Source organism: Homo sapiens, chromosome 4 (assembly GCF_000001405.40).
Source record: "Homo sapiens chromosome 4, GRCh38.p14 Primary Assembly".
Lineage (NCBI taxonomy): Eukaryota > Metazoa > Chordata > Mammalia > Primates > Hominidae > Homo > Homo sapiens.
Genome location: NC_000004.12, coordinates 32,561,576 through 32,577,688, shown reverse-complemented (window position 1 = coordinate 32,577,688; position 16,113 = coordinate 32,561,576).

The window sequence follows — 16,113 nt, the reverse complement described above, 5'->3', positions numbered from 1 at the left end:
GAAATAATTCCATGATTTAAGGTAGTGAGGTAATAAGCTATGTACCATTTTAATGACTGAATAAAAAGTGAGAAAGATAATTTTTTTCAGGAGAAGGTTGGTTTTCTACAGAACAGGAATGTTTGGAAAGAAAATTCCCTTCCTGGAAACTGGGAAATAAGTCCAATGCTTAAGAAAATCAATCTCTGTGGAAATTGAGGTGGCAGATCAGAACCTGAAGACCCCAGTGCACCACATTAGACAACTGTAAATAGTACATTAACATGTGATGCACACACACACACACACACACACACACAAACGCATCTTAGATTTCTGTTTCTATATTGATATAAAAATAATTTAACATCAATGAAGGACAAATCCAATTTTTTAATTTATTTTATTACCTAAATAGTGTCCTATTTAGGATATTAAAAGGGATGTATTTTACCAAATTATGATATACAAAGATTAATTAGAAAAACACTTATGTATTTTTTCAGTCAGTTGAACTACATTTTAATGGAGTATATTTCTAATTACTAATGCAATTTGGACATGGTTATTCTCACCAAAACAAAAAAAATTAAATTTAATAGTTGTAAATTAATGCAATTTATGTGACAGGTTTGTATTTTCAGCATTCATTTCAAAATAAATAAATGTAACATTTGTTACTACTTAATAAACTCTGATTTTCATGGTAAAATGATTAAATCTTGTCTGATAACCCAGTTTTATTTGAAGTGTATGACATAATTTTAATGTTCAGAATACAGCGATTACATGAAGCCTGAGCATTTTTTTAACCTATTGAGCATTAATAAAAATGATCTTAGATATTATTGTTTGCCATAGTCCTCCCCCTTAAAAACTCCAGAAAATGTGGGGGTGTTAAAAAAAGAGCAAACAAAAAAAAAAAACTACTTTCCTTTGGATAAATGCCCAGTGGTGGAATTGCTGGACTATACGGTAGTTCTATTTGTAGTTTTTTGAGGAATCTCTGTACTGTTCCTCAGAGTAGTTCTACTAGTTTACATTCTCACTAACAGTGTATGAGTTGTCTTATATCTGTATTCTGTCCAACATTTGCTGGTTTTTTTTTTCCTTTTGATGATAGTCATTCTAATTGGAATAAGATGATACCTCATTATGGTTTTGATTTGCATTTCCCTGATGATTAGGGATGTTGAACTTTTTAAAATATATTTATTGGACATTTGTACGTGTTCTTTTGAGAAATATCTGATTAGATATTTGCCCATTTTTTAAATCACATTGTTTGGTAATATTTTGCTGTTGAAATATTTGAGTTCCTTGTCATATAAATGAACTGTTGGATGAGTACTTTGCAAACATATTTTCCAATTATAGGGTGTCTTTTCACAATGTTGTTTCCTTGGCTTTGCAGAAGACCTGTAGTTTAATATAATCTTATTTGTATATTTTTGCTTTTGATTCCTTATTCAAAGAAAATATTCTCTTAGAAGAATGTCCTGAAGCATTTCCCCATTTTTTTCTAGTAGCTTTATCATTTCAGATTTTAAAATTAGATCTTTCATCCATTTTGGGTTGACTTTGTAGAGGGTGAGAAGTGGAGGTCTAGTTTCATGTTTCTGAATATGAATTTCCAGTTTTCCCAGCATCACTTATTTAAAAGACTACAGGTTCCCTAAAAAGTGTTCTTGCTACCCTTTATAAAAATCAATTGGCTGTAGATATGTAGATTAATCTCTGGTTCTCTACTCTGTTCCATTGGACTATGTGTCTGTTTTTATACCAGCACTATACTGTTTTGGTTACTACAGCTTTGTGATTGATATATGTTGAAGTCTGGTAGTGTGATGCCTTAAGCTTTGCTCTTTTTTGCTCAGAATTGCTTTGGTGATTGGGGATTCTTTGTAGTGCAATACAAATTTTAGGATTAATTCTATTTCTGTGAGGAATGCCATTGGTATTTTTACCAGGATTATGTTGAATTTGTAGATTATTTTGGGAAGTACGCTTACTTTATCAATATTTATTAAGGCTTCTGATCTATGAGCATGGGGTGCCATTCTATTTGTTTGCATCCTCTTCAATTTCTTTCATCAGTGCTTTATAGTTTTTCTTGTAGAGGTCTTTCATCTCCTCTATTTTTCTGATACAGGGCTTTGCTCCCAGGCTGGAGTGCAATGATGAGATTTCAACTCACTGCAAGCTCTACCTCCCAGGCTCAAGTAGTCCTTCCATCTCAGCCTCTCAAGTAGCTGCCACCATAGGCTCATGCCACCATAGGCTCATGCCACCACACACAGCTAATTTGTGTGTGTGTGTGTGTGTGTGTGTGTTTATTTTTTGTAGAGATGGAATTTAATCTCATTGCCCAGGCTGGTCTCAAACTCTTGGGTCTCTTAAAGTGCTTGGATTACAGTAAGGAGCCATGGTACTTGGCCTTTACTTTTTAAATATATATTGTAAAAGGGATTGCCATTTTGATTTCCACTAGTTTCTTATACATGTATAGAAACATTACTGATTTTTGTATATTAATTTTGTGTCCTGCAACTACACTGAATTCACTTATTGGTTCTAGAAGTTTTTTGGTAGAGTCTTTAGTTTTTTTCTATATATAAAATCATGTCATTTGCAAACAGAGAAAATTTCACTTCCTCTTTTCCTCTTTGGATTTGCTATTTCTTTCTCTTGCCTAATTGTTCTTTCTATAACTTACAGTACTATGCTAAATAAGGGTGGTGAAAGTGGGCATTCATTTTTTTTTCTCAGTTCTTAAAGGAAAAGCTTTTAGATTTTCCCAACTCAGTATGATGTTAGCTATGGGTTTGGGTCCACGATAATATGGGCCAACAATAATATATGGCCTTTGTTATGTTAAGGTACTTTCCTTCTATACTTTATTTATTAAGGGTTTTTTATCATGAAAACATGTTGAATTTTCTCAAATGCTTTTTCTGCATCTATTGAAATGATCATATGGTTTTTATTCCTCATTCTGTTGATGTGATGTGTGATATTTATTGATTTGCATATGCTGAACCATACTTGTATTTCTGGGATAAATCCCACTTGGTCACACTATATTATCTTTGTGATGTGTTGTCGGATTCAGTTTTCTAGTATTTGTTGAGGATTTTTGTGTCTATGTCCGTCAGGGATATTGGCCTGTAGTTTTCTTTTTTCACTGTGTCCTTGTTTGGTTTTGGTACCAGTAGTATGCTGGCTTTGTAGAATGAGTTAGAAATAACATCCTCTGCTTCAGGTTTTTAGAATAGTTTGAGAAAAATCAGTATTAGTTGCCCTTTAAAGATTCAGTGAAGCTCAGTGGTGAAGCCATCTAGTCCTTGACTTTTCTTTGTTGGAAAGCTTTGTCTTACTTTTTAATCTCATTACTTGTTATTGGCCTGCTCAGGTCTTCAGTATTTCAAAGAGACATCTGCATGGCAATATTTATTGCAGCACTATTCATAGTAGCCAAGATATAGAATCAACCCACAGGTCCAACAACAGATGAATGAATTTTAAAATGTCATATGTATATGTGTATATTTATATATAAATTATATATATAATTTAAACATATATATGTATATATATAAATAAAACATATATATATACACATATACAGTTGAATACTATTTGGCCATATAAAATAATAAGATCTTGTCATTCCTGGTAGGGTGGATAGACTGGAGGACATTATGTTAAGTGAAATAAACGAGGAATGGAAAGTTAAACACCAGATGTTCTCGCCCATATTTGGAAGCTTAAAAAAAGTTTGATCTCATAGAAGTAAAACATAGAGTAGAGGATACTAGAGGCTGAGAAGGATGGGAAAGGGGAAGAATAGAGAGAGATTTGTTAAAGTATACAAGTCACAGTTGGACAGGAGGAATAAGTTCTAGTGTTCTACATCACCGTAGAATGATTATAGTTAGCTCTCTTACATTATATGGTTTCAAACAGCTAGAAGGAGGATACTGAATGTTCCTAACACAGAAAATGATATATGAATAAGCTGATGGATGTGCTAATTACCATGATTGATCACTATATATCATTATATGTATGGAAACACCACAATATACCCCATAAATATGTACAATTATTATGTGCCAATCAAAGCCAAAATAAAGAATAAAAATAAGATAAAATAAAATAACATATATAGAAAAAAGAGAAAAGGAGCCAGGAGTCAACTAGGAAGGGAGAGAACTCACCTCATTTTCAAGCATCTGAAGCTGGTCAGGAAAGGAGAGAGGGTAGCAAAATGATAAAAAAATTGTCAAAGAACATAAAAGGGAGTTTGCACAGAAAAGAGAAAAGTGAGCACAAGAGAATTTTTTTTTCATAGAAGGGGATATTATTGCAGGTAAGCACTGTGATAAGCTAAAGTTATAATGCAGGGTAAACTGCTAAGAATAATAGTGTGTGATTTCTACAGCCAATTACTGAAAGTGAAATATAATCATTGCTATATTTATATTACAGGTTAAATTTTACTATGACAAATAAAATATAGGAAAGGGATTTGCTTAAAATGTAAATGCTCTATTCATATGAGAAAGGGTATGGAGAGATGAGCTCAGAGCAACACTAATTCCCATCTCCAAGCTTCCCACCCCCAATGAATCAAGTGGCGCTCTGCAGAAGCTCTGAAGAAGGAAGACAGGTTTTTGTTAGATACCAGATGTGGAAAGTGGAAGAATCAAGAAGTTGAAGACAGAACAAAGGCTCAGGATGCAATTCAGAGAGGGAGCACAGTGACCTAGAAAAATAAATTAGGCAGGAACCATTATCTTTACTAAATGTGCCTTGGGGTAGATACTTGCTTCACAATGATGGCCCTTTCTCTGGAAAAAGCCCTAAAATGAAGTAGAAAATCTTTACTGGGCCATTTCTACATAGTATGTGCCTACTCATCTGATGATAGATAATGATCCTGACACAGACAACTGATCTGAAATGGACAAAGTTCTCTCTCCCAACAATTCTAAAATATGGAGGCAGAGAAACAGACAAATTGTCAATTTTTCATTCTGTTACTAAATGTTTTCTTGATGCTAAAATCTTTGAATAAACTCTAGTTCCTTTTTTCAGAAACCTTGGTTATTCCACTATTTCTTTAACTCTCAATGACATAAAAAATATTTTTCTATTACACTCATTTTTTTTTCCTTAAGCAATTCAACCTTGGTTTCTGCTGATAAATCCAAAAAACAAGAAGCAAACAAACAAGAATTTCAGAGTAACAAACTATTCAGTGCTAGAAGGAAATAAAAGCTGCTTGAAATTTTTTAATTAAAGCTTTACTTTCAATCAGATTTTTCAGTCTCATAGGTGTAAAATGTGATTTCAGTTACTTTTAAAATTAATTTCAAATGTTAAATTTGGAAGTATGAACAATGTATGACCAATGTCTACAAATATGGGAATTTTTGAAAAGCTTAATGTGATATCATCAGATTATCAATAATTCAGGCAACAACAGGCTAGTCTTAATAGCCTTCCTTCCTTCCGCCGACCTTCTTTCTCTTTCTTTCTTTTGTTTAATTTTTAGAGATAAAGTCTCACACTGTCACCCAGGCTGGAGTGCAGTGGCACAATCATAGCTCACTGCAGTCTCAAATTCCTGGACTCAAATGATCCTGTCACCTTGATCTCCCAAGTAGCTTGGACTACAGACATGTGCCAACACTCCCAGCTAATTTTTAAATTTTTTGTAGAGGTGTTGTCTTGCTCTGTTGCCCAGGCTGGTCTCAAGCTCCTGGCCTCAAGTAGTCCTTCTGTCTCTGCCTCCCAAAGTGCTGAGATCACAGGTGTGAGCCACTGCACCTGGCCTAATTAAATTTTCCTTTTTTATTATATTTATGATACATTATTAGACTTCTTCACCCTTTGAACATTTCCATTTGAATGGCTTCCATCCTTCCACAACCACAGAGTAAACCAAAGAGGCTTTTAACAAAATAAATTAGTTTCATTGGTTAGATCATTCTGATCTAAAATATACATACATGATGAATATTTGTTTCATACAAGTATTTTCAGTAAAGTGAATGATTGCATTTATTGCTATTATACAACTCAACCAAGAGATGCTAATTATTTCTAATTTTCTGGGAGATGTGTACCCTTCCCAATGACGTGTAATTTTATGTAGGTTAAAGGACCTTCTATTTATACTCTCTTCGCCTGTTTCCACTCCTTGTCTTAATAAAGTCAGTAACTAACATACTCATAGGCTAATTGACATCAGCTTTAACACAAAATAAATGCATTCTATGCATAGAATTATAGAAATTCTAAGAAAGGACATATAAATATTTGCATATACTAAGGAAGTATAATGTAATTAAATGTTTAGATTTGCCTTTAATAACGACATCTATTAAGTGAAATTCGAACATATTAAGTACCTACATATTTTGGGTGATGTTCTAACGGAAGAGATCTTCCAGCAATAACTTGTAAGAAATCAATGTTTGTAATTTTTGAGAAAGTTTTATGGTACTAATGGGAAAAATATTTCTAACTGGCATTTCAAAAAATAACCCAAAATATGTGATCCCCAATTAATATTCCAATATATGCATTAACACTGTTCTTTCTATGTGCTAGTGCTTAATGATTATTCTAACTGAAATGTATAGATGGAAGAGTAAAATAATATAAAATACCTATATCTAATTCATTATTTAGAATGTAAGAACATTAAACTGTACTAAAAATGGTTTTTGCTATCAGAACAGTGCTTAATATTGAATATAAGAAAACATGATGACTTGATATATATACATATACACACACATACATATGTAATGTACTGAAATATAAAATATATATAATTTATAAAATGTTAATGACTGTAACTTTAATTTGTATGTTCTCTTTAAACTTTCTTCAACCATCTGATGCATTCTTATAAGGCTATATTTACATAATATCATTACAAATAATTTAACAGTTAAAGTAGTCAACTATTACATTTATATAAATTTACATGATAGCAAATAACTGATGTCAACTTATTTCACTGAATTAGGCTGTTGAAGTGCTGTAATCATATCATAAGTATTTAATTAGATCAAACACAGACTACGGTCATTATGAAAATTAAGCAGAAATGATTTCCTTTGTATGTATGAAAGAAAGAGCAATATGTTTAGATTTGTATCTCACCTCTGAAATTGGTGTACTTCTATTCCATTTGCATTGCTCTATTTGCTTCAGCAGAACATATACAACAGTACATATACATATACATATACATATACATATACATATACAGCAGAACACATATACAGCGGGTCAATTATGTAGTATAGTACATAGAATATTCCAAACTATATGATGGTACAAAATGGGCTTTAAATATACTCCTTCTGTGTTTAAGGATTTTGACCCTATATTTCCATGTTAGCAAACCACAACATATCAGAGAGAGTTGCCACTGGGACCAATAGAGCAATCCTTAGCTGTCAGATGCTGCAAGCCCACTGACCAAATATTCTTTACCAAACTGCTAAGATTTATGGATCTAAGTTTTGAAGTCTGTGTGTTACATTATCACATATTCAGCAGCTTCCTCAAAACTGAGTTCAGAAACAGGAAGCATGTCTGACCTCATTTAGCAGTCTTTCTGACACTGAAATGTGATGAGCTGACAGCACAGGAAACAAATCATATTTTGGTGTTGGACAGAAACAACACTCAGTGAAGACATTCTGGTTACACTTAACATTTTTCAGTTCCCTTTATCTCTGAGCATTTTGAATGCTACATATTCTTCTGAAGGACAAGTAATAAAAATTGTAAGAAAATTTTAATTTTTTTTTTCAAATTGTAGAGACTCAATAGGGCAGAGCAATGAAGAAAAAAGAAAGCCTGTGGCTAATTATTCCAAAATTACATTTGCAGTGCAAAATTCAATGTTCTTTAACATAGTAGCCAGGCATCTGATGGAAAGGAAAAAAAATTTTGCCTTGTAAGCTTCAGCATTTGAGGACCAGTGAAAAGACAAAGTAGGTTAGCAGCTCAGGCTTCTCCAAATGACTAATGATAATATCAGATATATTTTAGAAGGAGATATCAATGTTGTTAAAGCATCTAGAGGCTCATGAGCCCTTTTACTGAAAATACACAAAGAAAGGCAATAGTTAAGGTCACCATTCACTGTGCATACCAAACAGCGTAATGACATGGACGATTGGCAGCTTCAAACATTTTATCAAGCAGGAAAAATTGAATTAGTGAGAACAAGAATACCGTGAAGCATCAAAAACCAAGAGGAATAATTTTAAAATGCTAGACTAGCACATTTTGAACATCAAATCCTTCACCTTTTTACCCAGACATATGGGAATGGTGAATTCATCACAAACACACTGTGCATTAGTTTCTTTTAAAACTGGTTAGTGTTTGATTCTGCTACGTAACATTTCTAACTGGTTAGACTCCTTAAATATGCACAATCCTACAAGTTTCCTTCTGTCTACAATTTTTAATTGGATAGTGGAGCCACAAGACTGTTGGGGGTAATGATCTAATACACTGAAGAGGGGACATACAATAAAAATTTGAGGGAAGAAACAAAAAAAATATATTAACCAGCATAACAATCAGATATGGTAGAAGAAGAGAATCTTTGACAAGGGCTGATGAATAGGACAAAGGAGAGTATCATCTCCTGTTGTATTATTTCTTTTTTATTTTTGGCATGGAGTCTCGCTCTGTTGCCTAGGCTGGAGGGCAGTGGCACGATCTCGGCTCACTGCAAGCTCCGCCTCCTGGGTTCATGCCATTCTCCTGCCTCAGTCTCCCGCGTAGATGGGACTACAGGTGCCCGTCATCACGCCCGGCTAATTTTTTGTATTTTTAGTAGAGACGGCGTTTCACTGTCTTAGCCAGGATGGTCTCGATCTCCTGACCTCGTGATCCTCTGGCCTCGACCTCCCAAAGTGCTGGGATTACAGGAATGAGCCTCCGCGCCCGGCCTCCTGTTGTATTATTTCTTTTAAGGTATAGGTAATTTTTGCATAAACGAAATATACCTTATTATTGCACGTTTAGAACTATATTTATAAACAGTCTTAACTGCTTTAGGAATTAACAATTTTAAAGAATTTATTATAGAATGCATTAATTAATTTTAAGCAGCTATTTTACATACATTCTGTTTAAACTATTTTGTTCAAGAAATGAAGAAATCGATAAATATTAAAGAAAAAAATTATATTGAATTTTTTCTTCTATTTCTATATTAGCAATTTAAACATTTTCATCTCAGTTGCTTTGTATTCATTTTGTTCACATATATTATTTGAATTTGTAGTGTAGATAAATTACTATAACTTTAGGGTTTCCATTTCTTTAATTTTACTATAACACATCTTTGTAACTTTATTATAAAAAAATACTATATTATGTCTTCTTTCTTTTCACTTTTTTCATTATTCCCTGAAAAGCAATTTTAATACTATTACTATGTAGTGTGTACTGTTTTGAACTATAATATACCATTTAGCCCATATCTATCTTCATTTCTGTTATATGTAATCCATTTTAATGTTGCTTTCATCCTGATAGCATAAATGCTCATAGGTCAAGCATGCTCATACTTCATACTTTACCAACAATCTTCTTTCCGTTCAATGGATAATCATCACTTTAAGAATTCATGATTCTGGAAAAAAAGTGGTCTTTCAAGAAGATACATCCAGTTTAAAACTGTAAAAATTAAGATCCCAAATATTTGTAGATACATGGATTTAATCCAGTAGCGTACATTTAAAAATCACATATATGTATATATGGCTCTTAACTTACTAATTTTTATGTTATTGTTGTCTCTTTTCTTTTGTAACATGGCAAACCTTTAAATACTTTGTAATAAGTATATTTTAATATTAATTAGATGTCATATGTTCCTGAGATCTTACTCTTATCCAAGTTATACATGTAGCCAGTACTAGTAGTCCCATAATGCAAATTATCTTAATCGACAAACTCATAATAAATACTCATATATTACATAAACAATGTTGCTAATTTCTAAGTAGCAGGGACTTGGTTTTCTCTTGATTAGAATAATCTAGACTATGCTACTCTATGCTAATGAACAATATCAAGCAAAGCAAATGGTTATCTATTGCTCTTGTAAATTCTGCTCTGGATCTGTGCAATTCTTGAGAGCAATTCTTCCATGCAGAGACTTAACAATCCAAGCTGAGTAACTTCAGTGTTTCCTTCTTGGGCATTCTCCACTATCTCCTTGGCAAGAGAGGCAAAAACCTGGATAACTGATCTTACTGCCTCAGTTCAGAGTTATCTACATTACATCTGCTAACATTTTTTTGGTACAGAATTTGCCAAAATTTTATGCAATTTCAAGCAAGGCTGAAATACAGATTTTTTTGTTCTTTTACCTATTTTGAAAAACTCTGTCTTCTAATTTGAATACTGAGTTTAATAACACTAATAAAATTGAAGAAATTTTTGGATTTAGACCTTTCAGTTTGTGTTCTGTCTTTTTTTAAGAAATTAGTTTCTTATTTCATTTTTCAAATTATTTGAATATCTTTTAAAGTAAACTTTATTGATTGGCCTTTTAACTGTACCTATTTACATTAGTTTTAATCCAGAGATTACTATACATATTTTTAACTTTTCTCAGTTTTCTTGGAATATAAGTGAACTTGAAACTATAAAGGTACATTTACCATCCCTGCCCCAATCCAAATTCTTCTTTATGGTTAGGATATGATGTAAAATATCACTGAAAATATTATATTCATTGTTCTATGTCAACATAGATATTATAATGAAATCCAGAGGAAAATATATTTTTAATTTACCAGCTCTTTCCCAGAGCTGATACTACTTATTCCTTCATAAATATCAAAGTTTCGCACCATCATCATTTTCCTTCAACATGAAAAACAGTTTTCAGTATTTTTTATATTGCAGATCTCCTGGCCACAAATCCTTATTTTCGTTTACCTGAAAATGCTTTTATTTATTTCCATTTTTAAAGGATATTTTTTCTGCCAGACATTAAATCGTGAGATTAGAATTTATTTCTTTCAATACTTTAAAGATGTTTCCTCACCATTTTCTGGCCTCTATTGTTAATGATGAGAAATCGGTTCTCGTTAGAATAGTGCTTCTCCAGTATATAATGTAATCTTTCTTCGGATAAGTTCAAGACTTTTAATTAGTCTTCGCTTTCCAGTATTTTAGTATAATGGACCTGCGCATGGTTTCCTTCACATTTATACTTCTTGATGTTTTCTAACATTCTGGAATATATAGACTTATGTTTTTATAAAATTTTGAAAATTTGGGGTCAACATTTCTTTTCTGACCCATTCTCTTTCTCTCTTTCTACGGAACTCAAATTACACACATATTGGAATTTTTGATATTGTTCTATAGCTTGCTGCTGCTCCATTTGTTTTCAATCTTTTATCCTTTGTTTTTATTGAACTATCATCAAGTTTGCTGATTATTTCTTCTGACATTTCCATTCTGCTATTAAGCCTATGCAGTATTGTTTATAGTTAAGCTATATTATAACTTTCAGTTTTAGAATTTTCATATACTTTTATGTTTTCAAGTTCTTTTGTCCATGTTTCCCATCTTCTCACTGATTACAAGAGCATTTTTCTTTATCTCATTGAGAATAATTATACAGCTGTTTTGAATTCCATTTTGTGATAATTCGAAAATGTAAAGATTGATTTCCATTATTCTATTTTCTCTTGAAAATGAGTTACATTTGCCTGGCTCTTCACATGTTAAGTAATAATTTGCTTGTATCCTGAATGTTACGTTGTGGAAACTTTAGATTATACTCCATTTCTCTCCCTGGAGCATTGACATTTTTGTTTTAACAGGCAATTAACTTGGTTGTACATAAACTGAAAAATTTATGTTTTCTACAGAAACTCGTATATTTGTTCAGTCATTTATTTATTTTAGATGGGTTGTTTTCAGTCTGCAAAGATGGCACTAGGGTCAGTCAGATATTTGTATAACGTTTCTACACAGAGGTTTTTCTTCCTCTCCTCTCTGTTTTCTAGGGTTCTCACCATACATTCTGATGGAAGTGGTTGCCCTAATTTCTGTTCTATTCCTCTTCAGTTCAAAAAGACTGTGAGTCAGCAAAGTTGTGGCCACAAAACAAAGGATAACTGCAGCATGTCCACAGGCATAGCAAAAGAAAACGAAACATAGAAAGAAAGTGGGGAGATTATACCACATGCTGATCCCTTCCCGTTTCTACCTTTTTCTAGAATCTGTCTCCTTTTGATTACATTCCAAAGCCTGTAGGTAGTTTGTTATATTTTTCTAGCATTTATACTATAGTTATCTACAAGAGTATTGGCCTACTAAGAACTTACTGAGCCATTCTGAAAGTAGAAACCAGTGTAGACCTCTATGTTTACAGAAGGGAATAAAAATTGGAAATTGATGAATAATGGTGTTATTGTCTTTCAAAACTTTGTTCAGTTTACCCTAAGCCACTCTAATAGAAGTGCTGGAGTAGAAGTTTCTTTTTAAAATAAATTGCAAAATGAAGTATTTTTTCCACTTAACATTTGGTGAACTGCACTAAAATAGATCTTAAATAGACCTGTGTTATATTAATACTCTAAAAAGACAATGAAACATAACTTTTATTTAAAAACTCACAGATATTTCTTAAAGTTGATAATTGAATTCATTAAGTATCAGTATATAAAATGTTAGATCAATACCACACTTTAATGTGGCAATTAATGTACTAAAATGTGAGAAACTTTAATATATAACCGCTTGAGAGCTCATTTCAACATTTTTTACTACAGAATTAGAACAGAACAAATTCCTTCTGGTAGTAAGCCAGAAACTCAGAAGAAGCATGGCTTTTTCTTGGAATGATGTAGTACAAATGACTTCCTTAAGACACAATAATTCTCAGATACAAACACTGAATATAACTGATGAAAGGGATAACCACAATTTTCTTTTAGTTTCCAAAAATATAAAGAAATAGTTTTGTGCAAATGAAGTCAACCATGACGTAACATCTGTGGGATGATAGTGAAATGGGTTATTTAACTTGTTATTAAAAATGAAATGTATATGGTTTAATATAGCAAATACCTTCAACCTGGCCTACATTTGCCCTGCTGACTACATATACTAATATCTGACTATCTTTAGTCTGGAATTCAATTCACTAAAAATATCTAAAGCAAATCAAATTGAGAGACAAAGTGCAATGACATGTTACCAATATAAAATTAATGAACCTAAGTTAGGTTTTTGAGTATGCTAAAAATATCCATAGGGCAAATAATACTTTAACAAAGATTAAATCTGCATTTTAAAAATAAACGTAAACTTTATGTTACTTTTTAATCATTTCCCACACCTCAGAGTTTCCCAAGGCTATGTATTTTGATTAATTGCTTTGCAGTATGATTTTATTATAGTGATAAACTTTCTATTCACAAAAGGGAATTTTAGAGTAAACAGTCATGAACCTGAGAACTAAATGTAATAATTAAGAGACATCTTTACACTTTGGGGATTTACATCTACTAATACATTATTTCTGAAAATGGCTTAATCAATCTTATAGTCTTTATCTATGTTATTTGGTCTTAGTTTATACCTCTTAGTTCATGGGATGTAAATTCAGTTATTGCAAGAAATTTATTCTTTTTTTTTTTTTCAGATGGAGTCTTGTTCTGTCAACTGGGCTGGAGTATAGTGGTGCAATCTCGGCTCACTGCAACCTCCGCCTTCTGGGTTCAACAGATTCTCCCACCTCAGCCTCCCGAGTAGCTAGGATTACAGGCACATGCCCTCACACCTGGCTAATTTTTTTTGTATTTATGTTAGAGATGGGGTTTCACCATGTTGGCCAAGCTGGTCTCGAACTCCTGGCCTCGAGTGATCCACCTGCCTCAGCCTCCCAAAGTGCTAGGATTACAGGCTTGAGCCACCGTGCCCAGCCATTGTAAGAAATTTATTCTAAGACATTTATGAGACCTACTGAAAACAACTACTAAGTTGATGAAAAAGTATTTGCAGTTTTTGCATTACTTTTAATGGCAAAGACCACAACAACTTTTGCACTAACCATATCTCACACATACATACATACACACACACACACACAAGAGAACACATTCATACACATGTACATAGTGGCAGAACGATTCTAAGATGGCTATCAATGATTCTTATCTTCTAGTATTTCAAAAAAGGAACCATGGAAGTCCAGGCCACAGCAGGTCAGTGCTTCCCGTGCCTATATTCAAAAAGTCTTCAAAATCATTGCAACCTAAGATCTAGTATTCCTCCTCATATTTCCTTCATCATTGTAGTTGGCAGAATAGTGTTTTAATCCTCAGAACATTTCATATGTTATCTTACATGGCAAATGGGACTTTGCAAATGTGATCAAGTTAACGACTTTGAGATGGGGAGATTATCTCAGATTATCTGGGTGAGCCCAATGTAATCACAAGAGTCTTTATAAGAGGAAGGTAGTGGGATCAGAAATGGTAGTATATGTGATAATGGGACCAAGAAGTTGGAGTGATATTAAGAGGAGTCCATGAGCCATAGAATGCAGACATCCTTTAGATGCTGAAAAAGGCAAGGAAACAATTCTCCCCTGAAACCTCTAGAAGGAATGCAGCCTTACCAACACCTTGCTTTTAGACTTTGACCTCCTAAACACTAAGAGAAAAAAAGCATGTGTTATTTTTAACTAATTAGTTAATGGTAATTTATTATAGCAGCAATAAAAAAACTAATTCAGGCAGTAATTACTCTAGCTGAATAGGTATATATAACCTATTAAGTAGAAATTCTATCAAACTTCTCTGTCCATTAGACTACATATCAAATGACACATATTAGAATTTCTGTAGCAGAACAGTGTAAGCATCAAAACTATAAATGTATATTAAGTTCATCAAAAAAATCATGAATTTTGGAATGCCCATAAAGTGAAATGGTAGAAATTAAATAAATATAACTATACCATTAGTACAGTCAACAACTTAGATGAATCTAGCAAGCATCATATTAACATTTTAAGCAAAGGAAGTCAGGTTCAAATAAGTAATACATAACTCTATTTTTAAAGAATACTTTTAGAAACAAAAATAATTTCTGGTAATTTACAATTTTAGAAGTTGGTATAATAGTTACCTTGCTGAGTTGTTACTGACCAGGAAATATCACAAGGAAACTTATGGTCGGTTCACTTTGTGTAACTTTATCAAGCTGTGTACATAATTCATGTGCTATTTTTGTGTATGTTTTACTTTAATAAGGCATTTACTTTTTTAAAAAAACTGTAAGACCACTTATACCAAACAATACTCTCTAATCCCTAATTAAGAGAGTTGAAGGAAAATCTTATTACACGAGATTACCTCGGTTTGGGCACAGCATCATGTGGTAGGCCATCCCATACACATGGGCTCTGCATTACTTACTTGTGTCTGGTTCAATCAAGTATGACCTGGAGAGCCAAGGACTCAATGCACCCACAGGAAGTACTGCGGGTAGGAAAATTTACCTTACAAAGGAACTGCAGGATGTCTGATTAGAAATTTGATTATGATGTTTCACTACAAGAACCTCATTATATAATCAGAATATATGAGGGCAATCTAATTTGATGATCTAAGCTTTTGAAAGGAACTTTTTAAAGCTTTGCAACCCTAATTAAGGTGGTTTGGAAGCAATAACTTTAATGTTGATCATTAAGCATGACACTAGATGGTAAACAAGAGATACTGAGGAGCCTAGAAATCCCTGCTGTTATTTCAAAAGCAATACGTTTGAAATAAAGTCATTGGGATGAAGGTTCTTCTGACAGGACAAGGTGAGCTGGGAGATAGGTAATATTGCCTGTCAGAATAAATTGTCTTGTTTCCCTTTGTGTAGCTTAATTATTGATTAGGTCTCACATTTAATGTCCATTTTTACATTTTTCTAGATCTCAGTGATCATCATGCCTAAAGTTTACTTGTACGAACTAGAATTAACTGGAGAAATAGAAAAAAAATGATGAATTTCAAATATTATCATTAAATTCATTGCTCATAAAATCATAAAATT